At 40.4% G+C, this 26,588-nt stretch overlaps 1 protein-coding gene across 20 annotated transcripts in view, besides 2 other annotated features; it reads left to right on the top strand.

The window, feature by feature from the left end:
• The window catches only part of COL24A1 (collagen type XXIV alpha 1 chain), a 427,752-nt gene continuing 418,133 nt past the window's right edge, over positions 16,970 to 26,588 (top strand). For 7 of the 20 annotated variants that reach the window (NR_146341.2, NR_146342.2, NM_152890.7 and 4 more), the window contains exon 1: positions 17,182 to 17,613. Coding sequence is in view for 13 of the 20 variants with exons in the window: in NM_152890.7 (NP_690850.2) it covers positions 17,558 to 17,613 (56 nt within the window). In the remaining 7 variants the exon portion in view is untranslated. Of the gene's footprint in view, positions 17,614 to 26,588 lie in introns of all 20 variants that reach the window. The other 13 variants (NR_146340.2, XM_047417015.1, XM_047417016.1 and 10 more) reach the window with 4 other exon arrangements.
• Positions 20,887 to 21,056: an enhancer, noted in NCBI's record as "experimental_9432 CRE fragment used in MPRA reporter constructs". NCBI's record gives its function as "activates a minimal promoter by MPRAs in K562 erythroleukemia cells, with activity observed for the non-introgressed 1:86618666 or rs78660480 variant allele {active_cell/tissue: K562}" and the evidence as "EXISTENCE:reporter gene assay evidence [ECO:0000049][PMID:34662402]".
• Position 20,971: a transcriptional cis regulatory region, noted in NCBI's record as "Neanderthal adaptively introgressed variant 1:86618666 (GRCh37/hg19 assembly coordinates) or rs78660480 in the experimental_9432 CRE". NCBI's record gives its function as "modulates activity of the experimental_9432 enhancer by MPRAs in K562 erythroleukemia cells {active_cell/tissue: K562}" and the evidence as "EXISTENCE:reporter gene assay evidence [ECO:0000049][PMID:34662402]".

Below are 26,588 nucleotides of genomic sequence, written 5' to 3'. Positions count from 1 at the left end.
TGAAATAATCTAGACACCAAACCCTGTGTCACACAATTTACCTATATAAGAAACCTCCACCTGTGTCCCTGAACCTAAAATAAAAGTTAAAAAAAAGAAAAAGAAATTGTTGAACTCGATAAACTTGAGATCCTGCTCAAAGGTAAGTGATTGATGGGATTGAAATGGTTCACTGTTAGTACTCTGCCAAATATGTCAAAAGGGTCTGTTTCTATCTAAGGGAAATACTCTTTTTCTTGTCTAGTCCCAGTCAACATGTCACACTTCCCACAAAAACTCAGAATCAAACACCTTTTTGGCAGCACGTGACCCAAAGCAGCAAGAAGACCCTGGGGATCCACATGGAAGAAGAACGCATTATGTGGAGCTCACTAGATCCAGGACCAGGCAAACCAAGAAAGGAAAATCATTCTGAAAACTGTTTTAGATACACATTTGAGTAAATTTATAAGAGACAGAATAAAGGCCTACAACAGAGGAAGAAATATTCTAGCATAACCAGATTTAGGGAGAAAACAGTAACAACAAAGAGGATCAACAACGTTTGAGTAATAAAAGAGAGGAAATCTAAACAGAGTCAGAAACTGAAAAAATTTTTTCACCAACCAAGCTAAAGGTTTTCATCAGTTTCCCTTGTGAGGAGGAATTGCGATATTTTGTCATTTGTAATCTGTTTTATATAAACATGTATGAGTCAACTATGTGACAAAATATAGGTAGTTCTCTTCCCAAAGTGAATATTGCCATTTTTAATGACTCTTTTTGTCATTTACTTAAAGTCCCTAAAGAGTCCTTTCAGCTATTGGCATGGGCCCCTACCTAGTTATGGCAGCATTCCTTGTTACTTTAATAAAGTCTGTGCCTCTAAGGTGCCTTATGTTCTAAACACAGAAAAAAAATCTTAAATTCCAAGACCCATATTTTAAACTGAGTGACATTTAAGCATGCTTCTCTCAAATGTTTCATCAGTTTCCAAGGCATCATTACCATTTGCACTAATATAAAAGAACCCTTAGGCTGGGCATGGTGGCTCCATGCCTGTAATCCCAGCACTTTGGGAGGCCAAGGTGGGCAGATCGAGCCCAAGTTCAAGACCAGCACCTGGGCAACGTGGTAAAATCCTGTCTCTACAAAAAAATAACAAAACAACAAAAATGAGGTGGGTGTGGTGGCATGTGCTTGTAGTGCCAGCTGCTCCAGAGGCTGAGGTGGGAGGATCACCAGAGCCCGGGGAGTTTGAGGATTGCGCCACTGCACTCCAGCCTGGGCGACAGAGTGAGAGCAAAACCGTGTCTCAAAAAAAAAAAAAAAAAAAATCCTTCAAGATGTTCTACTCTAATAGAGAAGAAAATTAGGCTATGTCCAGATTCCTGAAAGGTCCTACATGACCGTTCCAGCCTCATCTCTATGTTGTGGCCATTACAGCTATATGTCCCTAGTAAGAGTGCCAGGGCCTTTTATATTTCCATGCAATTGCCCACACTGCCACCTCTGCCCAGACTGGCTTGACTTTTCTTGTCTACTTGGCAAATACCTACTTATTTATAAAAATCTGAGCTTTATATGTTCCCACTCACCCACAATAGGACTGTGTTCTATTCCTTTGTGCCCCAACTGCCCTGTATTACCAAGTTAGCTATTCTTATTTTTTTCTATCATCTATACCAGTTGGTTTTTCTTATTAAATTCTGTCCCTGCAGGTTACAAGCTCCTTAGGGGTGATAATTATACCATATATCTTTACAACTCCTGGTCTTAGAACATTGCCTGGTACATATTAGACATGCAACTCCTTATTTAGTTATTCATTCACTCATTCAATAAATATTTAAAAGTGAAATTTCAATTAAGCCACTTATTCTTTTATTCATATTCTTATTCTTATTCATTTATTCTTCCCAGATATACATGAACGAGAGTATTTACTCATAAAGAGATTTCACAGGCAGTCTGTAAGTACTGTGTTGGTAACTAAATCAGGAATGGCTTAACATGTTAATATAAGATCACCAGTCTATCTGCATCATGATTACATGTAATAATTTTAACAAATGCTGTTGTTAAAAATGCAGATTCCTAAGACTCACCTCAGTCCTAATTGGAATCTCTAGGCATAAGACTCAAGAATCTGTAATTGTAAAAAGCCACTCATGTGACTTATATTCACATCAAAGTTTGAGAATCATTGGATTCCAAAGAGCATGAACTTCAGAAAGTGAGGGATCTGAGCTAAGGCTCCAAATCTACCCTTTATTTGCTGTATGACCTTGGAAAAGTAAACTAACCACTTAGAGCCTCAGTTTTCTTACTTATAAAATGAATATAATAATGTCTCCCCACTGGGTAATTGTAAGGATTATGTAAAATAAGGTAAACCACCTAGAACTGTGCCCATGACACAGAAATGTGTGATAATATCAGTTATCTCTTTGTCTCCCTACTCCAGCTTCCCTTTGTTCCTCAAATTCTCTTCAGCAGTCAGACTACCTGAAAACAATCGCATGTGTCCCTTAGAGCTCTGCTGTTTAGAGTTTAAGCAATCTTGACATCACTATAATAATTTTGAATATGATTGTTTGAACTTTGCATATGCTAAAATATTCATATTTTTATTAAATTCTCCTTGTAGGAGAATTAAATCTCCTTGCAGGAACTAAACAGATTTTGATATGGGTTATATAGAAGTTTTACTTTGGCAGGAATGGATACCCCCTTTCTCATTTTATGCCAAGACTTGAAATCATGTGGTGGCATCTGCAGGCATTCATTGCCTCCCTATTAATTTCAGAGACTGGCCTGGTGCAAATTAACTTTTCCTCCTCTTCCATGGAAAAACTGATATTTTTATGATCTTTCATAATATTGCCATTGTTGCAAGAATCTTATTCCAAAATATGGAAAAGTTTCTTCCACTTCTACGCCTCAGAAAATACTCTTACCATTTGTCTGTTTTCCTTTTTTGAAAAAGTGTGTGGCCTGAGTTCACTTTGTAATTGTTGGAAAAGAGAAAATATAAATTTCCCATGTTGAATTTTCTAATGTACTTAGTAAAGTGAGAGGAATTTTTGCTAAAGGTGGTGATAGAGGATCATGAGATTGACTCAGTGTTCTTATGTGTTATCTCAGGCAGATGACTATCCACAATCAGTTCTCATATGACTTTAGATGATGCTAGTCTATCACTGGTTTCTATAAATTAGGTTCTCTGTTAAAGTTGATAGCATTTTTATTAGTATTCATGTAAAAAATACTAAAACATTTTAAATAAGCCTTTGGGAAATTGTGGTGCTAATCACAGATGGAGAAAATAAACCTTATTATAAAAGAATCAAAGATATAATGAAACATGAGAGAAGCAAAATATTTTATTTGGCCCTTTAATAATTCCAAATGGCAACTATTATTGAAATATTTTTTTTCTTTTTTATTTTTGAAACAGAGTTTCATTCTTGTTGCCCAGGCTGCAGTGCAATGGCGCAATCTCAGCTCACTGCAACCTCTGCCTCCTGGGCTCAAACAATTCTCCTGCCTCATCCTCCCAAATAGCATGCACCACCACGCGCAGCTAATTTTTTTTTTTTTTTTTTTTTTTTTTTTTAGTAGAGACGGGTTTTCTCCATGTTGGTCAGGCTGGTCTCGAACTCCCAACCTCAGGTGATCCGCCCGCCTTGGCCTCCCAAAGTGCTGGGATTACAAGCATGAACCACCACGCCTGGCCTATTGTAATACTTTCTAAAAAAAAGACTATGTTTTATCCTTACCTACATTTGAAACTGAAAATCTTGTTTTTTGTCCTATTATATTCTTATCTCAGCCTACTTCTCTTCAGTTACCTTGTAAATGAGATTCCATAGATATTCAAGAAAACATTGGTCAGTTGTGTGTAGTTATCTCAGCTGATTGAGAATTCTCTGCAGTCCAATTCCATTCACCCTCTTCTTTTCATTAGTAAAAGAATAATCTTTCCCCTTATACTAGAAGATGTTGTAAAAATTAGTAACTGGTTAGTAGAAAATTAGTCTTGGGAGCACTGAACATGAAAAACCTCCATCTCTGAATGGAAGCATATCAACCTGTCATTTTATAATTTCAAATATAAATTCTACCCTTCCTAGAAGACTAATCCAGTAGAGGGCTCCAGCTTGCTTTAACTTGTTATGGAGAGACAATTATAGGGAGATTTTTGAAGACAAACTTTCAATGTGGCATTAAAAATGTAGAGTTTTCCCCTGGCATGACTATACAAGTGTTTACATATCTACCTATTTGGTTGCTCTAGAGTCGAACTCAATTTATGGCTCTGTCTTCCTCTAGCTACACAAACACATCTTAATCCATTATCGATGTCTTTTTGCTCCTTCCCTAGAATCTTTTCCATGTTAGTTATTCCAAACCATCCATATAGTCCTCAGGAGCCCAATCTCTTTCCCTCAATCTTGAAACTCTTATGTGCTTTTCTGATTTATGTAAATAATACATGCTTATTATAAAAAATAAAAATGGCAAAATAAAAATGAATAAGGGATAAAATTTAAATCAGCATCCCCAATTTTACCACCCAGAAATTCTCTTTATGCTACTATTAATATTTTGGTATATTTCACTTCAGTCTTTTTTCTAGGATACACAATATATACTATGACACTCATATATATTTTATAAGTTTTTAATCTTGTTTGTTCCACCTAAAATATTATAAGAATTTTTTCATGTTAAGAAATAGTCTCTCTAATGTTATTTTTTGTAGTTGCATAGTATTGTATGAATGTACTATGATTTGTTATCTAGAAATATAATAACACTGTAATTATCATCCTTATACATATGTTTTCATGGGCAGAATGTGATTAGTATTTACTTAAGATGCATTTCTAGTTTTAAAAAATATGACATTTTTAAGGCTCTTACTGAGTACTGGCAACTTTCCCTCTAGTTGTTTTTAAGAGTACCTGCTTAACTCTGCCCTCACCAACATTGGATGTTATAATTTTAAAAAATCTTTGTCATTTGCTCTGGGAGCTTATTGTATTAACTTGAATTTTTTGAACTGAATTAGGTAAACATTTTTATATGTTTTGGGCCAATTTTATTTCTTCCTATGTAAATTGCATTTTCTACACTTCTATCTATATTCATCACTTTTCTTACTGACATAAGAAATCTATGGCTGGGGACAGTGGCTCATTCCTGTAATGCCAGCACTTTGAGAGGCCAAGGCAGGTGGATCACAAGGTCAGGAGTTCGAGACCAGCCTGGCCAATATGGTGAAACCCTGTCTCTACTAAAAATACAAAAATTAGCTGGGCGTGGTGGCAGGCGCCTGTAGTCCCAGCAGTCTACTCAGGAGGCTGAGGCAGGAGAATCACTTGAACCTGGGAGGCAGAGGTTGCAGAGAGCTGAGACCGCGCCATTGCACTCCAGCCTGGGTGACACAACAAGACTCCGTCTCAAAAAAAAAAAAGATGGGGAGGCGGTTCCAAGATGGCCAAATAGGAAGAGCTCCAGTCTATAGCTCCCAGCATGAGCGACACAGAAGACGGGTGATTTCTGCATTTCCAACTGAGGTACTGGGTTCATCTCACTGGGGCTTGTCAGACAGTGGGTGCAGGACAGTGGGTGCAGTGCACCGAGCAAGAGCTGAAGCAGGATGAGGCACCGCCTCATCTGGGAAGCACAAGGGGTCAGGGAATTCCCTTTCCTAAGCAAAGCTGTGACAGATGGCACCTGGAAAATTGGGTCACTCCCACCCTAATACTACGCTTTTCCAATGGTCTTAGCAAACGGCACACCAGGAGATTACATCCCGCGCCTGGCTCAGAGGGTCCCACACCCACGGAGCCTAGCTCATTGCTAGCACAGCAGTCTGAGATCGAACTGCAAGGTGGCAGCGAGGCTTGGGGAGGGGTGCCCACCATTGCTGAGGCTTGATTAGGTAAACAAAGCGGCCAGGAAGCTTGAACTGGGTGGAGCCCACCTCAGCTCAAGGAGGCCTGCCTGCCTCTGTAGACTCCACCTCTGGGGGCAGGGCATAGCCAAACAAAAGGCAGTAGAAACCTCTGCAGACTTAAATGTCCCTGTCTGACAGCTTTGAAGAGAGTAGTGTTTCTCCCAGCACAGAGTTTGAGATCTGAGAAAGACAGACTGCCTCCTCAAGTGGGTCCCTGACCCCTGAGTAGCCTAACTGGGAGGCACTCCCAGTAGGGGCAGACTGACACCTCACACGGCCGGGTACCCCTCTGAGACAAAACTTTCAGAGGAACGATCAGACAGCAACATTTGCTGTTTACCAATATTCGCTGTTCTGCTGCCTCCACTGCTGATAGCCAGGCAAACAGGGTCTGGAGTGGACCTCCAGCAAACTCCAACAGACCTGCAGCTAAGGGTCCTGACTGTTATAAGGAAAACTAACAAACAGAAAGGACATCCAAACCAAAACCTCATCTGTACGTCACCATCATCAAAGACCAAAAGTAGATAAAACCACAAAGATGGGGAAAAAAACAGAGCAGAAAAACTGAAAATTCTAAAAATCAGAGCGCCTCTCCTCCTCCAAAGGAATGCAGCTCCTCACCAGCAATGGAACAAAGCTGGACAGAGAACGACTTTGACGAATTGAGAGAAGAAGTCTTCAGATGATCAAACTTCTCCGAGCTAAAGGAGGAAGTTCAAACCGATCGCAAAGAAGTTAAAAACCTTGACAAAAGATTAGACGAATGGCTAACTAGAATAACCAATGTAGAGAATTCCTTAAATGACCTGATGGAGCTGAAAACCATGGCACGAGAACTACATTGTGAATGCACAAGCTTCAGTAGCCCATTTGATCAACTGGAAGAAAGGGTATCAGTGATTGGAGATCAAATGAATGAAATGAAGCGAGAAGAGAAGTTTAGAGAAAAAAGAATAAAAAGAAATGAACAAAGCCTCCAAGAAATATGGGACTATATGAAAAAAACCAAATCTACATCTGATTGGTGTACCTGAAAGTGATGGGGAGAATGAAACCAAGTTGGAAAACACTCTGCAGGATATTATCCAGGAGAACTTCTGCAACCTCGCAAGGCAGGCCAACATCCAAATTCAGGAAATACAGAGAATGCCACAAAGATACTCCTCGAGAAGAGCAACTCCAAGACACATAATTCTCAGATTCACCAAAGTTGAAATGAAGGAAAAAATGTTAAGGGCAGCCAGAGAGAAAGGTCGGGTTAACCACAAAGGGAAGCCCATCAGACTAACAGTGGATCACTTGGCAGAAACTCTACAAGCCAGAAGAGAGTGGGGGCCAATATTCAACATTCTTAAAGAAAAGAATTTTCAACCCAGAATTTCATATCCAGCAAAACTAAGCTTCATAAGTGAAGGAGAAATAAAATCCTTTATGGACAAACAAATTCTGAGAGATTTTGTCACCACCAGGCCTGCCCTAAAAGAGCTCCTGAAGGAAGCACTAAACATGGAAAGGAACAACCAGTACCAGCCACTGCAAAAACATGCCAAATTGTAAAGACCATCCAGGCTAGGAAGAAACTGCATCAACTAACAGGCAAAATAACCAGCTAACATCATAATGACAGGATCAAATTCACACATAACAATATTAACCTTAAATGTAAATGGGCTAAATGCTCCAATTAAAAGACACAGACTGGCAAATTGGATAAAGAGTCAAGACCCATCAGTGTGCTGTATTCAGGAAACCCATCTCATATGCAGAGACACACATAGGCTCAAAATAAAAGGATGGAGGAAGATCTACCAAGCAAATGGAAAACAAAAAAAGGCAGGGGTTGCAATCCTAGCCTCTGATAAAACAGACTTTAAACCAACAAAGATCAAAAGAGACAAAGAAGGCCATTACATAATGGTAAAGGGATCAATTCATCAAGAAGAGCTAACTATCCTAAATATATATGCACCCAATACAGGAGCACCCAGATTCATAAAGCAAGTCCTTAGAGAACTACAAAGAGACTTAGACTCCCACAAAATAATAATGGGAGACTTTAACACCCCAATGTCAACATTAGACAGATCAACGAGACAGAAGGTTAACAAGGATATCCAGGAATTGAACTCAGCTCTGCACCAAGCAGACCTAATAGACATCTACAGAACTCTCCACCCCAAATCAACAGAATATACATTCTTCTCAGCACCACATCACACTTATTCCAAAATTGACCACATAATTGGAAGTAAAGCACTCCCCAGCAAATGTAAAAGAACAGAAATTATAACAAGCTGTCTCTCAGACTACAGTGCAATCAAACTAGAACTCAGAATTAAGAAACTCACTCAAAACTGCTCAACTACATGGAAACTGAACAACCTGCTCCTGAATGACTACTGGGTACATACCGAAATGAAGGCAGAAATAAAGACGTTCTATGAAACCAATGAGAACAAAGACAAAACATACCAGAATCTCTGGGACACATTTAAAGCAGTGTGTACAGGGAAATTTACAGCACTAAATACCCACAAGAGAAAGCAGGAAAGATCTAAAATTGACACCCTGACATCACAATTAAAAGAACTAGAGAAGCAAGAGCAAACACATTCAAAAGCTAGCAGAAAGCAAGAAATAACTAAGATCAGAGCAGAACTGAAGGAAATGGAGACAAAAAAACCGTTCAAAAAATCAATGAATCCAGGAGCTGGTTTTTTGAAAAGATCGACAAAATTGATAAACCGCTAGCAAGACTAATAAAGAAGAAAAGAGAGAAGAATCAAATAGACGCAATAAAAAATGATAAAGGGGTTATCACCACCAATCCCACAGAAATACAAACTACCATTGGAGAATACTATGAACACCTCTATGCAAATAAACTAGAAAATCTAAAAGAAATGGATAAATTCCTGGACACATACACCCTCCCAAGACTAAAGAAGTTGAATCTCTTCATAGACCAATAATAGGATCTGAAATTGAGGCAATAAATAATAGCTTACCAACCAAAAAGTCCAAGACCAGATGGATTCACAGCCGAATTCTACCAGAGGTACAAGGAGGAGCTGGTACCATTCCTTCCGAAACTATTCCAATCAACAGAAAAAGAGGGAATCCTCCCTAACTCATTTGATGAGGCCAGCATCATCCTGATACCAAAGCCTGGCAGAGACACAACCAAAAAAGAGAATTTTAGACCAATATCCCTGATGAACATCGATGCAAAAATCCTCAATAAAATACTGGCAAACCCAATCCAGCAGCACATCAAAAAGCATATCCACCATGATCAAGTGGGCCTCATCCCTGGGATGCAAGGCTGGTTCAACATACACAAATCAATAAACGTAATCCAGCATATAAACAGAACCAAAGACAAAAATCACATGATTATCTCAATAGATGCAGAAAAGGCCTTTGACAAAATTCAACAGCCCTTCATGCTAAAAACTCTCAATAAATTAGGTATCCATGGGACATATCCCAAAATAATAAGAGCTACTTATGACAAACCCACAGCCAATATCATACTGAATGGGCAAAAACTGGAAGCATTCCCTTTGAAAACTGGCACAAGACAGGGATGCCGTCTCTCACCACTCCCATTCAACATAGTGTTGGAAGTTCTGGCCAGGGCAATCAGGCAGGAGAAGGAAATAAAGGGTATTCAATTAGGAAAAGAGGAAGTCAAATTGTCCCTGTTTGCAGATGACATGATTGTATACTTAGAAAACCTCATTGTCTCAACCCCAAATCTCCTTAAGCTGATAGGCAACTTCAGCAAAGTCTCAGGATACAAAATCAATGTGCAAAAATCACCATTATTCTTATACACCAATAACAGACAAACAGAGAGCCAAATCATGAGTGAACTCCCATTCATAATTGCTTCAAAGAGAATAAAATACCTAGGAATCCAACTTACAAGGGACCTGAAGGACCTCTTCAAGGAGAACTACAAACCACTGCTCAATGAAATAAAAGAGGATACAAACAAATGGAAGAACATTCCATGCTCATGGATAGGAAGAATCAATATCGTGAAAATGGCCATACTGCCCAAGGTAGTTTATAGATTCAATGCCATCTCATCAAGCTACCAATGACTTTCTTCACCGAATGGGAAAAAACTACTTTAAAGTTCATATGGAACCAAAAAAGAGCCCACATGGCCAAGTCAGTCCTAAGCCAAAAGAACAAAGCTGGAGGCATCACGCTACCTGACTTCAAACTATACCACAAGGCTACAGTAACCAAAACAGCATGGTACTGGTACCAAAACACAGATACAGACCAATGAAACAGAACAGAGCCCTCAGAAATAATACCACACATCTACAACTATCTGATCTTTGACAAACCTGACAAAAACAAGAAATGGGGAAAGGATTCCCTACTTAACAAATGGTGCTGGGAAAACTGGCCAGCCATATGTAGAAAACTGAAACCGGATCCCTTCCTTACACCTTATACAAAAATTAATTCAAGATGGATTAAAGACTTAAATGTTAGACCTAAAACCATAAAAGCCCTAGAAGAAAACCTAGGCAATACCATTCAGGACATAGGCATGGGCAAGGACTTCATGTCTAAAACAACAAAAGCAATGTCGACAAAAGCCAAAATTGACAAATGGGATCTAATTAAACTAAAGAGCTTCTGCACAGCAAAAGAAACTACCATCAGAGTGAATAGGCAACCTGCAGAATGGGAGAAAATTTTTGCAATCTACTCATCTGACAAAGGGCTAATATCCAGAATTTACAAAGAACACAAACAAATTTACAAGAAAAAAACAAACAACCCCATCAAAAAGTGGGCAAAGGATATGAACAGACACTTCTCAAAAGAAGACATTTATGCAGCCAACAGACACATGAAAAAATGCTCATCATCACTGGCCATCAGAGAAATGCAAATCAAAACCACAATGAGATACCATCTCACACCAGTTAGAATGGTGATCATTAAAAAGTCAGGAAACAACAGGTGCTGGAGAGGATGTGGAGAAATAGGAACACTTTTACACTGTTGGTGGGACTGTAAACTAGTTCAACCATTCTGGAAGTCAGTGTGGCAATTCCTCAAGGTTTAGAGCTAGAAATACCATTTGATCCAGCCATCCCATTACTGGGTATATACCCAAAGGATTATAAATCATGCTGCTATAAAGACACATGCACACGTTTGTTTATTGTGGTACTATTCACAATAGCAAAGACTTGGAACGAACCCAAATGTCTATCAATGATAGGCTGGATTAAGGAAATGTGGCACATGTACACCATGGAATACTATGCAGCCATAAAAAATGATGAGTTCATGTCCTTTGTAGGGACATGGATGAAGCTGGAAACTATCATTCTCAGCAAACTATCGCAAGGACAAAAAACCAAACACTGCATGTTCTCACTCATAGGTGGGAATTGAAAAATGAGAACACTGGGACACAGGAAGGGGAACATCATACACTGGGGCCTGTTGTGGGGTGGGGGATGGGGGAAGGATAGCATTAGGAGATATACCTAATGTTAATGATGACTTAATGGGTGCAGCACACCAACATGGCACATGTATACATTTGTAACAAACCTGCACGTTGTGCACATGTACCCTAGAACTTAAAGTATAATAATATATATATATATATAAATCTTCACATATTAAAGATCTTGACATTCTACAAAAATAATTAATAAAATCTGAACTGTTTAAAAATGGTCAAGGTCATGAAATAACCAACCATTCAAGTTTGCCTGGGACTGAGTGGGGTTCCCAAAACATAGAACTTTCAGTGCCAAAAGCAGGAAAGTTGGGCAAATAGTGATGGGTTTGTCACTCCGCCTTGGAAACTTTTCCAGATCAAAGGAGACTAAATGCAACTAAATACACGATGTGATCCTGAAGCAGGAAAAAGAAGGGGGAGTTTCCTATGAGAAACAGAAATAATTTATGAAATTTGAATAGCTCCATACATTAAATAATAGTGCTGTGTAAGTATTAGTTTCCTAATTTTGATCATTGAGCTGTGGTTGTGGAAAAGAATATCCTTATTTTTGGGAAATACACACAGATGGTGTATACTGAAGGGGTTAATCAGCATAATGCCTGCAGATTACTCTCAAACATTTCGGGGAGAAAGAGAAAGAGGGAGAATATAATAACATCAATGTGGTAAAATCTTAACATTGCTGAATATAGGGGAAAGGGCATACAGAAATTTTTCACACTGTTTTGGTATAAATTTGAAATTATTTCAACATAAAAGTTTATTAAAGATGTTAATTGTCTGCCATGTACTACAAATAAATTAGGTTCTCTGTTAAAGTTGGTAGCATTTTTATGCTACCTCAGTTTGTCATTTGTCTTTTCATTTGTTTATATTGTGTGAGATTTTTGTTTCTTTATTTTATGACTTGGAAATTTTAAATTGCACTGCATTCAGCTTTGTCTTTCTGAGAGACTGCATATCTTCCAGAGCAGGGATGAATCTGCTTGATGATTTTCATCCCCAGTTTTTAGCAAAGTGTCTGGAACCTATTGCTGTCCCATAAATATTAGATAAATTAGTAAATATAAATAATCTTTTTGGTTTTGTCATGTGCTTTTATTCTTAAAAGAGACTTCCTCACCTCTAAAGAAGAAATTTTTACATATATTTATTTCTAAATCTTTACAGAATTTAATATTTTTGTAGCCCATTAATGTATATGGAGTTTCCTTTGGTATACAGCATGAGGTAGTGATAACTTTTTCCTCCTCAAGATGAATTGTTTCAGCACTATTTGTAAAGCAGGTCTTCCTTTCTATATAGTTTTGAAATACCACCTTCATTACATACTGAATCTTATATCCTTATAAGGAGAGAGAGAGTGAGTGAGAGAGAGAGAGAGAGAGAGAGAGAAATTATTGAGAGCATGGACTTCATCGAGAGCCAGTCTGAATTGGTTTAAATATTGATGATCAGGCCAGGTATGGTGGCTCACTCTTTGCTTTTAATCCCAGCACTTTGGGAGGCTGAGGCGGGTGGATCACTTGAGATCAGGAGTTCAAGACCAGCCTGGCCAACATGGCAAAACCCCATCTCTACCAAAAAATACAAAAAAATTAGCCAGGCATGGTGGTGCACACCTGTAGTCCCAGCTACTCAGGAGGCTGAGGTGGGAGAATTGCTTGAACCCAGGAGGTGGAGGTTGAAGTGAACCGAGATCCTGTCACTGCCTTCCAGCCTGGGCAACAGAGTAAGACTCCATCTCAAAAATAAAACAAAAAAGAAAGAAAAAGAAAAATTCAGTTTTATAATCTCAGGCTATTTAATCCTTTATTTTCTTCTCTTTATAAGGAAGATAAATAATATCTAATTTAATAGAATTTTAAGGGATAAAATAAGTTTATAATAAGCAGAATAAATACTGATGCATAGTAAGCATTATGAAGTATTTGCTATATTGTTTTTGAGCCCCTATACTATTATTTAAATAATGTTATATGCCTCTTGTTCTATCTCCTTTAGTTCTGTACTGTTTCCTTTCACTTTCTGGAGTCTAAGTTTATATCTTTGGTGCTCTATTCTCTGTTTTGATAGTCTCTTCTTTAAAAATAGACTCTACTGTCAAGGCTTCAAATACCATTTTGTGCAGATGATGAAGAAATCTAACACTCTAGTTCTGGCCTCTCTCCTGAACTCTCTCTCTTCTGCTCTATTGAATAGCTCCAAAAGAATGTCTTACCATGGTTTTAAACATAATATAATATGTCTCAGTGTGAATTAGTTTTCTGACCCTTTGACATTGGCCAATATCATAATTTCTTTATCATTCAGGCTTTCAATTTCATCTATGCCTTCTCCCTTCCCAATCTAACCAGTTATCAGATATTGATTTATTTTAGTAATGATTTTCTTATTTAGCTTTCCTACCATTCCGATTATAGTCGGAACCTATCTCAACATCTACACCTAACTTATCCCCTTTTCAATCCTGGCATCTGATGCTGACTCATCTTAAAATGGGAGTATGGAGAAATCGAAAGTCTAATAGTTTTTTATTGGCTGTAGGCATAAATCTTAAGCAGTAGGATTTAAACTCCATAAAGGGAAGGATTTTCATGTATTTTGTCCACTGCTGTAACTCAGTGCCCAGAAGAATTCTAGGCACATAGTTGGTAATATGATAAATGAACCCTTATCCTGACATTCAGGGATTTTCATAGTTTGCCTTCAACCTCTCTTCCAATGCACAAACGTCTAATCCAGTCTGATGAGTCTGTTCCATTCCTCTGGATATAATTTAGATATACTCTTCTTGGTTCATTTGCTGTTAGTCATCTACTCTCCACTTCCAATCATACCACCTTTCTCCTCTCTATCTTTGTAAATCCTTTTTGCTTTTCATGGACCAGCTAAGTCACAAGGTGTCTGCTTAATCTGTCTTGATCAATTGATCTATGCTAATCTCCATCATCCTATAATGTCTATAGCAGTTAAAACTTATATTGTTTATCTTTTACTGGACAAATGCCTCCTCTCCCCAAATAAAGTACTCTGTCTGAAGGTATGTGTGCTCTTTGGAATCTTCTGCATGATAAAGGTTCCACTAACTCTAACTAGCAACTGTCATCTTCTTATACTCAACCTGAAATACATTTTAAAAACTTCATTTCCTACAGCATTCTATTCTTCAGACTCAATATTGCAAACAGAAAAAAAGACTTTATTCCTGAAGTGTATCTGATGGAAAAATGGAGACAGAGATTGAGTTACTTAAGTCTACTCAATTTTCATCTATTGTTCTTTCCATCAAACCAAATTAGCTGTCCTTCTTTAGCTGACTAGTAGGAAAAAGCAGAAAAAACAGAAATTAAGGGCATTTAAGAACGGCTGCCTTCCCTCAGTCCTGGATTTCTAGGAATATTTCAGAAATCTGTGGTTATTTGTTACAAAAACTGGGGGAAGATTTTACAATGGCAAATCCTGTGAGATGAGCACCTTAACTAAGTGATCAAAGTGAATATCACTAGTAGGTGACATATTAACATCATGTACACCTGAGATTGATGCCCCGAGAAGGGCACACTATCACTTCAATGTTATTTATGACCAAAATACACAACCTGCACCCAATCATGAGACTATGTCACACAAATCCAGATTGAGGAACCCTCCACAAAATGACTGCTCAGTGCATTTCAAAAGTGTTGAGTTCGTGAAAGACAAAGGAAGACAGGACTGCCACAGATGGGAGGAGACTAAGGAAACCTAATAATTCAGTTAATCACTGTGTTAGTTTATTAAACACAGTGTAGGATCCTGAGTAAAATCCTGGACCAGACAAAGGTCATTAATGGGAAAACTGACAATATTTAATAAGATGTATAGATTGGTTATTAGCATTATATTGGTGTTGATTATCCAGGGATTTTATTTTTTATTTTTTATTATTATTTTTTTTTTGAGTTGGAGTCTCACTCTGTTCCTAGGCTGGAGTGCAGTGGCGTGATCTCAGCTCACTGCAACTTCTGCCTCCCTGGTTCAAGCGATTCTCCTGCCTTAGCCTCCTGAGTAGCTGGGATCATAGGCGTGCACCATCAAGCCTGGCTAATTTTTGTATTTTTAGTAGAGACAGGGTTTCACCATGTTGACCAGGCTGGTCTCGAACTCCTGATCTCAGGTTATCTGCCCGCCTTGGCCTGCCGTGCTGGAATTACAGGCATGAGCCACCACACCCAGCCCAATTGTCCAGTTTTGATAACTGTAATTTGGTTATGTAAGTTGTTAACATTAGGGGAAGCTGAGGGAAGTATATATAGGAACTCTGTACTATTGTGCAACTTTCTATAATCTAAAATTATTTCAAAATAAACAGTCAAAAAATTGAGGGGGGCATAATGAATTTCTATATTCTTGCATTTAAAAAATTACCAAGCTTGAGAGTCACATCAATCATTGTCATTCACCAATATGATCACTTTAACCTTTATAATGTGTGTGTAATGTGGGATCCCTTTCAGCATGTGGAAGGGTCATTAGCTCTGGAAGGCACACAGGCTAGACAAGAAAAATTTGGAGCAATGATTCTCAGTGATATGCAGCATTCATTCAACAGATATGCCAGGTAGGTGCTAAGAACACAACTATGAACAACACAATAGATTCCTGGCCTCTTGGAGTTTCCAGTCTTATTAATAAGGAAGATAAAATCAGAACGTTTGTTTTCTGTTTGTTTGTTTGTTTGTTTGTTTGTTTTTGTTTTTGCAAAAATCAGAAGGTGGATTTCTTAGTATAAGGCCATGGGGGCATAGAGACTTGTATCAAAAGAAGAAATTTGCTACAAAAGTTGGAGAAGGTATTCAAATTGTTAAGGTAGTGGTGTGTGCGTGTGAGAGAGAGAGAGACTGTGTGACTGTAGTGTGTGTGGTGTGCTCTTGCTGTGAACCAGTAATACTTGTAGACAGGAAAAGGCAGAAAGGTGAATTACAGGAGAAAAGTCAGTAGAAGGTCGTAAGGGGGACAGACTGAAAGGAAGGAGTAAAGGGAGGAAAGGTAGAAATGAGGACAGTTAAAGTCATTTAATAATACCACGTAGGCCACTGGCCTAACTGCAAAGAAGGCAAGAAGGTCGCAGGGTAATGAAGGCCTCCTCTAAGTGTGATTTCAGAAGATGTGGGTGAAAAGGGTAGAGAAAAAGATTGGGGATGAGAGAGAAGCAAGAGGGAAACATCAAATTGGGGACTGCTGAGATGGGGAATGGAGCATGAACATGGTATGGAAGGAAGGATACTAGCTGCCTATAAGTGGGAAAGGAGACCATCCGGGTCGTACCCAGGCGGAGGCGAGCGCGCCCGGGGTGCGGTGGCCCAGCCCGACCCCGAAGGGCTGGCGAACGGGGGCGCCTGGGCCGGACGCTGGGTCGGGGAAGGTTGCGGGGGCAGAGGGGGAGGTGTGCGCAGTGTTTGGTGATGTCATTGCAAGTCAGTGAGCGGTGAAATTTAACACCGGCCGGATTTGCTTGGCTCCTCTTCTTCCAGGCAAAGCAGCCGGCGGCAGTCAACGCCGAGCGCCTGCAGTTGCCACCGGCCCCCTCGCACCGACTTGATTTCCGAAGTGGGTGTGTGTGCTTGTTTGACAAACGTTCGGGCGCGGGCTGTTTCCAAGGACTTCCTCCCCCACTTCATCTCCTTCCCTACCCCCACCCCTTTCTCCTCCCAGGCCCAAAGCAGAGGACTCCACTGGAGTCACAGAGTCGCCTTTGAACCGCAAGTGAACTTGAGTGCTGCACTAGCAGCCCGGCTCCCGCTGCCGCCGGCGCCCCGAGGCCTCCCAGTGAGGTTTACCTCCTCGCCCGCCCTCCCCGGGGAGCGCAACCCTGGGCTCGTTCGTTACCGAGCCAGAGAGCTAGGAAGCCTGTCCTCCCCTTCGGGTGCTATTTCCTACCTCCTCCCGACTTCACCCCCTCCCCTCCTTTTTTTCTTGTTGCGGGTTTGAAGCATGGTTTTCATGTGATTGTTTTTTCCCTTTTTCATGGACAGTACCTGCACCCTAAGCAGTTCAGAGTTGGCTTCTGTTTTCCGTTAGCGCTTTGCTGCACGGACAAATGCATACAAATGCATTTAAGAGCCCACAGAACAAGGCGTGGAAAAGTCTCCCCCACGGCAAAAACGTAAGTAGCCCACCCGCCGGGTAGGGTAGGGGTTAGACCAACCCCTCTCTCCACCCCCTGGTTCTGCTGAGCCTGATGGAGATCTGAAGTCCGGCTCCTTGGCACTTTTTGGCTTTAGGAGCGGCCGAGTACCCGCGGTATCTTCCCCTTGTCTTCTCAGCTTGCAAAATACCGTGTTTGAAAGGATGCCTCGTGCCAGCAGATCTCAGACAGTTTATGCTAAAGCGATCTTTTGGCTCGAGAGGAAAAGCTCGCTGGCGCGAGTCCCGAGGTCCAGGGCAGCGGCTCCCTAAGCTCCAGAGCTGGGCTCCGACGATCTCTCTGGCTCCAGCTCCCGCCGCCCTCGCGCCCTCCTCCCCTTCTCCTCCCGCAGGGCCCTGTCGAGGTCCTGCTTCCCCGAGGTGCTTCTCAGGGCGTCCAGCCTGGCGATTGCTGTGACGCTAGAGGTCCCCCAGGGTCAGTGTGCGCAGCCTGGACCACTGGACTCAGGCGTGAGGAAGGGTCGCCAGCGGGGGGAAGGGGGTGGCTGCAGAACCTCGGGCGTCGGGGGGTTGTTTTACCCACGGGCTCAGAGGCAATCCCCTCTGGTTAGAAGGCCAACAAACGTTGCCCATCCGAGCCGAGGCTGCGCCCTGATCATTGCCCTGTCACTGGGGAAGTGGCACTCGCGGCGGGGACTGGGGAGGGGAGCAGGACACGGGGGCGGGCCTGCCCCTCCTGCGGAGGTTTTGGGCGGGTCCTGACGGGCACCCCACCTCCCCTTTGGGCGCTGTACCTGCTCCCATGCCTTCCCTGGGAAAAGGGCTCGGACCAGGGGTTGCGCGGCTTTGGCTGGATGCCCTGGTCCCCCTGGAAGAGGTCAGTGGGTTACACAAGTTTGCTTCTGGCCCCTGGGCGAGAAGGGTGAACGCGGCTGTGGAAGTCTTCTGCAGAGAGGCTGCCCCTCAGGAGGCTAGGTGGGAGGAGGGCAAGGAACAGAATTGACCGTGTCAGCTGAGGGCAGGCGGAGGCAGGGTGCGGAGAAAGAGCGCCTTGTGGTCGTGTTTGTATGAACATGTGCTTCCCAGCCGCGTGCAGCCCAGCCTGGCTGGGGCTCGCGCGCGCGCTCTCTTCCGACCCCTGGAAGCCTCGCTGCTGGGCTTCCCAGCTGACCACATGCACCTCCCCGCACACCCCCATCCCCATGCAACAGTGAAGAGGAAACCTCCCAATCTCCTCAACCCCGTGCGGGCAGCGGGGTGCTGGAGGCTGGGGAGTCCCTGGAGCGAGTAGAGGTCAAGCTCTGCGGGTTGCCTTCTCAGAGCGGCTCACGCAGGTCGCATGGGGTTCCCAGGCAGAAGATTTCCCGCCACTGTTCTCGATAAACATCCCTCTGTGTGGACCAGCCTGGAGAGTCGGGGGTTGCAGCCGATCCTGCGGAACTGACAGATCTTCCCGCTGATCAGGGGCGGATGCAGAGAGGCTCTAGCCCTGCCAGCCTGGAGACTCCAGGAGAGGCGGAGTGAGGCCCTCCACTTCTTGCCCAGCCAGCCTCCGCATGCGGCCCTCCTGCAGCTCCTGCCCCGAGGGCTTTCCCTCTGCCACCGCGCGAGGCCCACGCTGGTGACTAACACTCCCCTTGGTAGTTGTGACCAACCACCGGAGTTAAAGCAGATCTGCTCCTGGGTTTTGTCTTGTCTGGTTTACACTTCCCTTCCAGACGCTCCCAGAAAAGGCCCTGCATAAATTCTTGGGCAGTTTGGGGTTTGTAAATTGGGTCCAGATGATTTGGGGGGAGGGAGGCAGAGAAACCAAATAGAATGGATTGCACCGGAGGAACTTCTGAAGAAAAATTATAAAACGTGGAATGGGAAGAGAACCCTTGTGCAGAGACATGGGGATAAGTAGCAGGTTCTGGATGAAGGTGTTTGTCTCCCATGACCACCAGAGGCCTTGCAGCCCTTGGTTATCTCATAATATCCAATTTGTTCTGTTACAGGGGCCACTGGGGATGGGCTGCAGAGAATTAAGGGTAATTCATAATTACATCAGATTACAGAACTCACAGCTCCAACCACACATGCAAACTTGGGAAAGATAGCTAATGATTGGACTGAAAAAATTGTTTCTAGAAAATCCAATTTTCATAAATAATTTGGAATTTTTCCCTTTGAAAAATAATGCCACCAACCCTTCGGAGTTTGAGGCGGGGTGGGGCGGGGGGGCTGGATTTGGAAGAAGTAGCTGATTTATAATGTCAGGCCACTGAATTAAACCTTAGAGTCTCTGATGAAATCCCTGAGTTTTATTTTCCTTTTGTGGTGATGTTTTGTAAGAGAGGGAGCGCTTTTTAAAATCACAGTTCTTATTAGTCACCCAAAAACAGTTCCAGTTTAAAAGTGGATCTTTACGACACTTTCTTTTGTGGGGTCTTTTATATGGGTTGCCTAACGTGAATTTGTAGAATTAATAAAATTAATGAAATCTCAAAGTCAGCTTTAGATACCTTAATTTGACATATTATCAGAAGGTCTCTGAGGCAGGCTATTATGGTAATTAAAGACTTTTATAACCAAAAAGGAATTTTGGAATATAAAGATCTATTTCCTAGATGGCACGAAATTCTATTTTTTAAAGTTGCTTAGTTATATTTGTGTTCAAATAAATTTTTAAAATAAGCTGATGTCTCAGGGAGAGTAAATCTAATTTATGGAAAGTACTTTTGAGTGTCATTTAGACATTCTACTTGGTAATTTGTGAACGGCAGAATAAAAGTAAATGTTATTATGGGAATTAGAATAGCTGTGCTAGTTTCCTTGCCATGCCTTCCAACTATGACTTATTTTAGAATTTGTAACTCTAATGAGAAGTAAAGACAATTTTATTTTCATTCTCATAAAAGGCTAACATTATTCTGTCATTCATTTATTCATCATTCATTAACGTATTTATTCAACACATGTTTACTGAGCTCCAACTATGGGCCCAGTGTGGTTCTAGGCAGCAGAGATACAATGATTGAGTATGACAGATCCACAGTTGCTGCTCTCCAGTCTAATAAAGGAAATAGCAAATGAAACAACCAAGTATAACGAAATGAGAGGAGGATATATACATGAGGGGCACCTAGCAGTCTTGGGTGGGTGGGTAGGGGAGGAAAGGATAATACTGGAAGGAAAAGGTAACCAAAGGAAATGAAATCTAGACTGAGACCTTACTGAAAAGAACATGAAATTTACCAGACAGAAGGAACAATAAAAAGCTCAGAAGTGAGACAGCACAGTGCATTTGAGGGCCTGAAAGAAATGAAGTTGGTTGGAGTACACATTCTAGGGAAGCAGTGACTGGAGCTGGAGCTGGAGAGATAAACAGAGACCAGATTTGGAAAGGCCTTTAAACCATGTTTAACAAGCAGAGGTTGGGGAGACTTGACTTTTCTTGATTTTGGGATGAGTGTATAGGTAGAAGATGCTAGATAAGTTATGTATTTGTTGAAACTCAAGACCACCTGATACTTTCATTGACTGAAGATTATCTGATTCATTAGTTCACTTGAAAATCTTTATCTAACACTAGTATGTGCCAGGAACTTTACTAAGCTAGGCAATAGTTTAACATTCTCTGTGGTATTACTAGGACAGACTAGTTTAGATGTATTTTTCTTCCCTCCTACTGACTGGACTCTAGACACTTTGATTAAATGAAGTTCTTAAGCATTTATCTCCCTTGCACTGCATGAATTGCTTGAATGCTTAGAATTTAACCAAAAGCTCTACAGGTTGAGTACTGCTCATCTAAAATGCCTGAGACCAGAAGTGTTTGGGATTTTGAATTTTTTTGGATTTTGGAATATTTGCATATATATAATGAGATATCTTGGGGATGGGACCCAAGTCAAAACATGAAATTCACTTATGTATCATATATACCTTATACACATAGACTGAAGTTAATTTTATATAATATTTTTAGTAATTTTGTGCATGAAATGAAGTTTTGACTGTGACCCATAAAGTCAGGTGTAAAATGATTCCAGTATGGCATCATTTCAGCCCTCAAAACCTTTCAGATTTTGGAGCATTTAGGACTTTGGATTTTTAGATTGGGGGTGCTCAACCTGTAGTATGCTTCATGCTGGTTTAGCTATATAACTACCACCTGAGTTGAATTAATAGTCTGAAAAATTAATTGCAAGTAAGTTAGTGACAGTACTACTTTGCTCCCTGAATCATCCAACTTTATGTCCACTGCTGTGATGAAAACTCTTTTTTCAGTTATTTTGAGAGGAAAGAACAGAAATTTTACTATTTCTCGATCTTAGTAGCTAGTAAAGAGCAAAATCTGTAAAGCTGTCATGACTTAGAGAAGTTTTTGGCATGTAAACGTAGCGTGGTGGAAATTGTTGAAATTATTGATGTATATCACGTGTGTGTGTCTTTCAGATTTGTTCACCATTTTCAATTGGTTTAAAAGAAGGCCACCAACTCATAAAAAGTTGTCTATTCACAAGATTTCACAAGTCCTTCCCACTATTATAAATTGAATCTATGTAGAAGTGAGCATCAGTAGCCTGAAGACATAAGTTATAATACCTTAGAGTCTCAGGGGTACCCTAAGCAAAAGATCCCTCGGATTCCCCTAAAGCAACTTGGATCTTTTGAATAAAGAGGAAGTTGAATAGCTCTAAGAATCATCTAGGAACGATGCCTGGAATGGGTATTAGTCATTTACATGTTCTGAGTATGGTCTTTGGATATCTATTTTCTGTCTTATCCTCTTTAGGCCTTTACCCTCACATGTCTGGTTATGTTTGGACTGTTGCTGGTGTCAAAGTGAAAATGTGACTAGCAGCCAGACTCATGCAGAGTGTTTCTTATTTTGTTAGCTATCAATATCTTGGGTTATATTTTTTGAGCCTTTATGAAGTGTTTGTTACCATATTGTTGATTTATTTTGGATATGGTCTGATTTTGTTAAATGTCTGAGTAACTATAACTCTATAACTTTGTATTAGTGACACATGGTCCACATATACAAACCAGTGAATGAAAACAAACATGTTTTGAATATTCAAAAATTGTTCATGTTTAATATACCAACTAGACTGTTTGTGGGAGTAAACTAAATATATGAATGAATTAACAACTTAGTAGACTATTTTAGGTTACTTAAATAGTATTGGACCAAAACTATAGGAAGACCGTTACAGTTTTGTGGTTAAATAACAAACGCTTTATATATATGTATGTGTATACACACACACACACACATATATACAAACCCTTTATATATATGTATGTGTATACACACACACACACACCTATATATATAACATTTTGCTAAGTAATTTGCTTTTTGTCTTTTAATGCCAGTATACTAATGTGATCCCATCACACACACAAATTATAGGATTTTACATTTGGAATGTAAAACACAAAAACATAAAATTTGTATTATGTCATCACATGATAGATGAGTCAGCTAAGACCCAGAAGGACAAAGAACAGCTGCTTCCATAGAGGACTCTACCATCTACTGCTAATGTGGAAACTTGATAAGTTTTATTTGTTGAGGAAATGTATAATAAATGTAACATCATAAGGAGGAAAATCCAAAGAAACAAACAAACCTAGTCCATCAGACATTTCCCAAGAATCTTGGATTCATTAAATACCCATATACAATAATGGTTTGGCTCTTTATCAAACTGACTATGTCAATGAAACTTCATCCTTTCTCTGTTGTACCCACTTCAGAGACAAGAAAGCTAAAATGAAAATTAAGAAAAAAAAGAAGAAGGCTACCATATATGCTACCATAGCAGATTTAAAAAATTCTATTTCCCTTCTCTTTCTTTGGACATCTAACTAAAATTGCCTGTATTTTATTTTATTTTTTCCAAGTGTTAAAAGAATCAAGTCCATAAGGAAAAAGTGAATTCCTCAGTCATTGGGAGATAATACTTTTGATCATTTCCTTTTAAAAAGTATTTACTGTCAATTTCATGTAACACATGGGTACACTAGAGGTAAAAATGAAGACCTGCTGCTTGCTCAGATATTTACTTTCATAAAAGGTAGGACTTATAGGAGTATAACAAAGTCACAATTAATGTATCAAAAGTACAGAGGTGGGGGAAAGATTCATTCCCCTTTAGAGATGATGGGAAACTTCATGGAGCAAGTATTGATTTAATTAGGCTTTGGGTGTACTTAAGAATGGTAAGTGGAGACTGGTAGGGCATTTCAGACATATACAAGGTCTTTCCAGTGGATGGAGAATAACTTTGTATGGCTGGAACTTTGGAGATATCAGGGGTAGTGGGATCCATACTGCTAAAAAAGGAAATTGAAGCTAAATAATAAGGGTCTTGAATGCATTGTAAGAAACTTTACCTGTTCTTTTTCAGTTCGCTATTTGTTTTGGTTGTAACTAGACAAAGAGAAAGAGAATCTATTTCAGTCATTGATCTCTACCAGTCCATTAGTCATCAGCTTTCATACACAGGTACATTTATGCAAGGTATGGCTCAACTGGTTTGTCATAATCCCCTAGGATCACCTGTCTAAAGAATGATGCTTGATGTGCTCAGGTTTTCCTGCCTCACACCAGGAATGGACTTGTTAACATGTTTATTTCCATTTTTCTCCACTGAGGTCATTGGGGAAGTTTATGAGTTTGTTGAATTGCTAAATGAGTAGTGCTGGCTGTTGTACTTGTCATTAGTTATTTTTAAGGGAAAAGTGCCTGTTGGGTTGTTTCTATGCATCTGAGTGAGGCTGATTACCTTGGGCAGGTGAGACATGCTTCCATTCACATTCAACTTTATACTTAAGACAGCATAATTGAGATGCACTATCCTTCATTGACTGTAATCCTAAGTAAGCAGTTTTCTAGTCTCGCTGATATGTATCCTGCCAGTTATATGTTGAAACATAAATTTGAAAGGTAAATAGCCTCCTTACTCAAGCTCTAAATCATATTAGGATACATCCTGGAGAGCCCACACATCATTTTAATCTTGCGTGATGGTCCTCAACCTTGTTTGCACATTAGAATCAGTGGAAAATGTTTTAAAATGCCTGTGTTATGGACACATTAAAATCAGAATCTCTGTGGGGCAAGGAGAGAAAGATCCAATTATTAGTTTTTAAAACTCCCCAGGTGGGCCAGGCATGGTGGCTCATGCCTGTAATCCCAGCACTTTGGGAGGCTGAAGCAGGCAGATCACCTGAGGTCAGGAGTTCGAGACCAGCCTGGCCAACATGGTGAAACTCTGTCTCTACTAAAAATACAAAAATTAGCCGGGTGTGCAGTTAGAATGGCAATCATTAAAAAGTCAGGAAACAACAGGTGCTGGAGAGGATGTGGAGAAATAGGAACACTTTTACACTGTTGGTGGGACTGTAAACTAGTTCAACCATTGTGGAAGTCAGTGTGGCGATTCCTCAGGGATCTAGAACTAGAAATACCATTTGACCCAGCCATCCCATTACTGGGTATATATCCAAAGGACTATAAATCATGCTGCTATAAAGACACATGCACACGTATGTTTATTGCGGCGTTATTCACAATAGCAAAGACTTGGAACCAACCCAAATGTCCAACAATGATAGACTGGATTAAGAAAATGTGGCACATATACACCATGGAATACTATGCAGCCATGAGAAATGATGAGTTCATGTCCTTTGTAGGGACATGGATGAAATTGGAAATCATCATTCTCAGTAAACTACCACAAGAACAAAAAACCAAACACTGCATATTCTCACTCATAGGTGGGAATTGAACAATGAAAACACATGGGCACAGGAAGGGGAACATCACACTCTGGGGAGTGTTGTGGGGTGGGGGGAAGGGGGAGGGATAGCATTGGGAGATATACCTCATGCTAGATGACGAGTTAGTGGGTGCAGCGCACCAGCATGGCACATGTATACATATGTAACTAACCTGCACATTGTGCACTTGTACCCTAAAACTTAAAGTATAATAAAAAAAAAATTAGCCGGGTGTGGTGGCAGGCGCCTGTAATTCCAGCTATTCAGGAGGCTGAGACAGGAGAATTGCTTGAACCTGGCAAGCAGAGGTTGCAGTGAGCTGAGATCGCTCCACTGCACTCCAGACTGGGTAACAAAGAGCGAACTCCATCTCAAGAAAGCAAAAACAAAAACAAAAACAAAACAAAACTCCCCAGGTAATTCCAGTGTGCAGCCAAGGGGTAAAAAGATCCAAACAGGAGGACTTTATATCATCTCTTGAGGGTCATTTATTTTAGAGTAGTGGTCCTCAGAATGTAGTCCCAGATCAGTAGCGTCAGTACACCCAGGAACTTGTTATAAATGCATATTCTTGAGCCCCACCCCAGACATACTTAGTTAGAAATTCTGGGGGTGAGGCCCAGTGATTGCTCACAAGTGCTTCATGCGATTCTGATCACACTAAAGTTTGAAAACCACTGACCTAGTGCAGTAGGAAAGGATTTTAAAAGGGCCAAATAATATTTTAGGGTCATGTCATGTTATAAAATTAGATATATGTGATTTAAGCAAAAGTAAAATCAATTTAGATGTATTTTAATAACATTGTAAATATAAACACAGTGAATGTTCTAAATAGTTTTTTCTCAGAGTTTGGCACACGTACAATCTGCACTAGAATCACCTAGTTAAAATGTATGCATCCTGCATATCCATCGCAAATTTTTGAATCATAATCTCTGTGTCAGGGCCCAAAATCTGCATTTTTTACAAGTTCCTCAGGTGAGTCTAACATTTGGGAACCATCCATCTACATGAATAATGCCATATATAAGAATGTTTCATAGGCCTCATTAGAATATATGGTTTAGTTATTTATCCATATCAGCTGAAATCTCTGCAATGATTCAGTTGATCTGTTTGTAGAGTTAGTGACAGTTGTTAAGTATTCTATCGAAACCTTGTCTTATAAGAGCTGTGCTCTGGACTGAGTACGGCCATAGAATGTTC

Source organism: Homo sapiens, chromosome 1 (assembly GCF_000001405.40).
Source record: "Homo sapiens chromosome 1, GRCh38.p14 Primary Assembly".
NCBI classification, from domain to species: Eukaryota; Metazoa; Chordata; class Mammalia; order Primates; family Hominidae; genus Homo; species Homo sapiens.
Note: the sequence above shows the minus strand (reverse complement) of the source record. Positions and strands in the feature narration are given on the sequence as shown.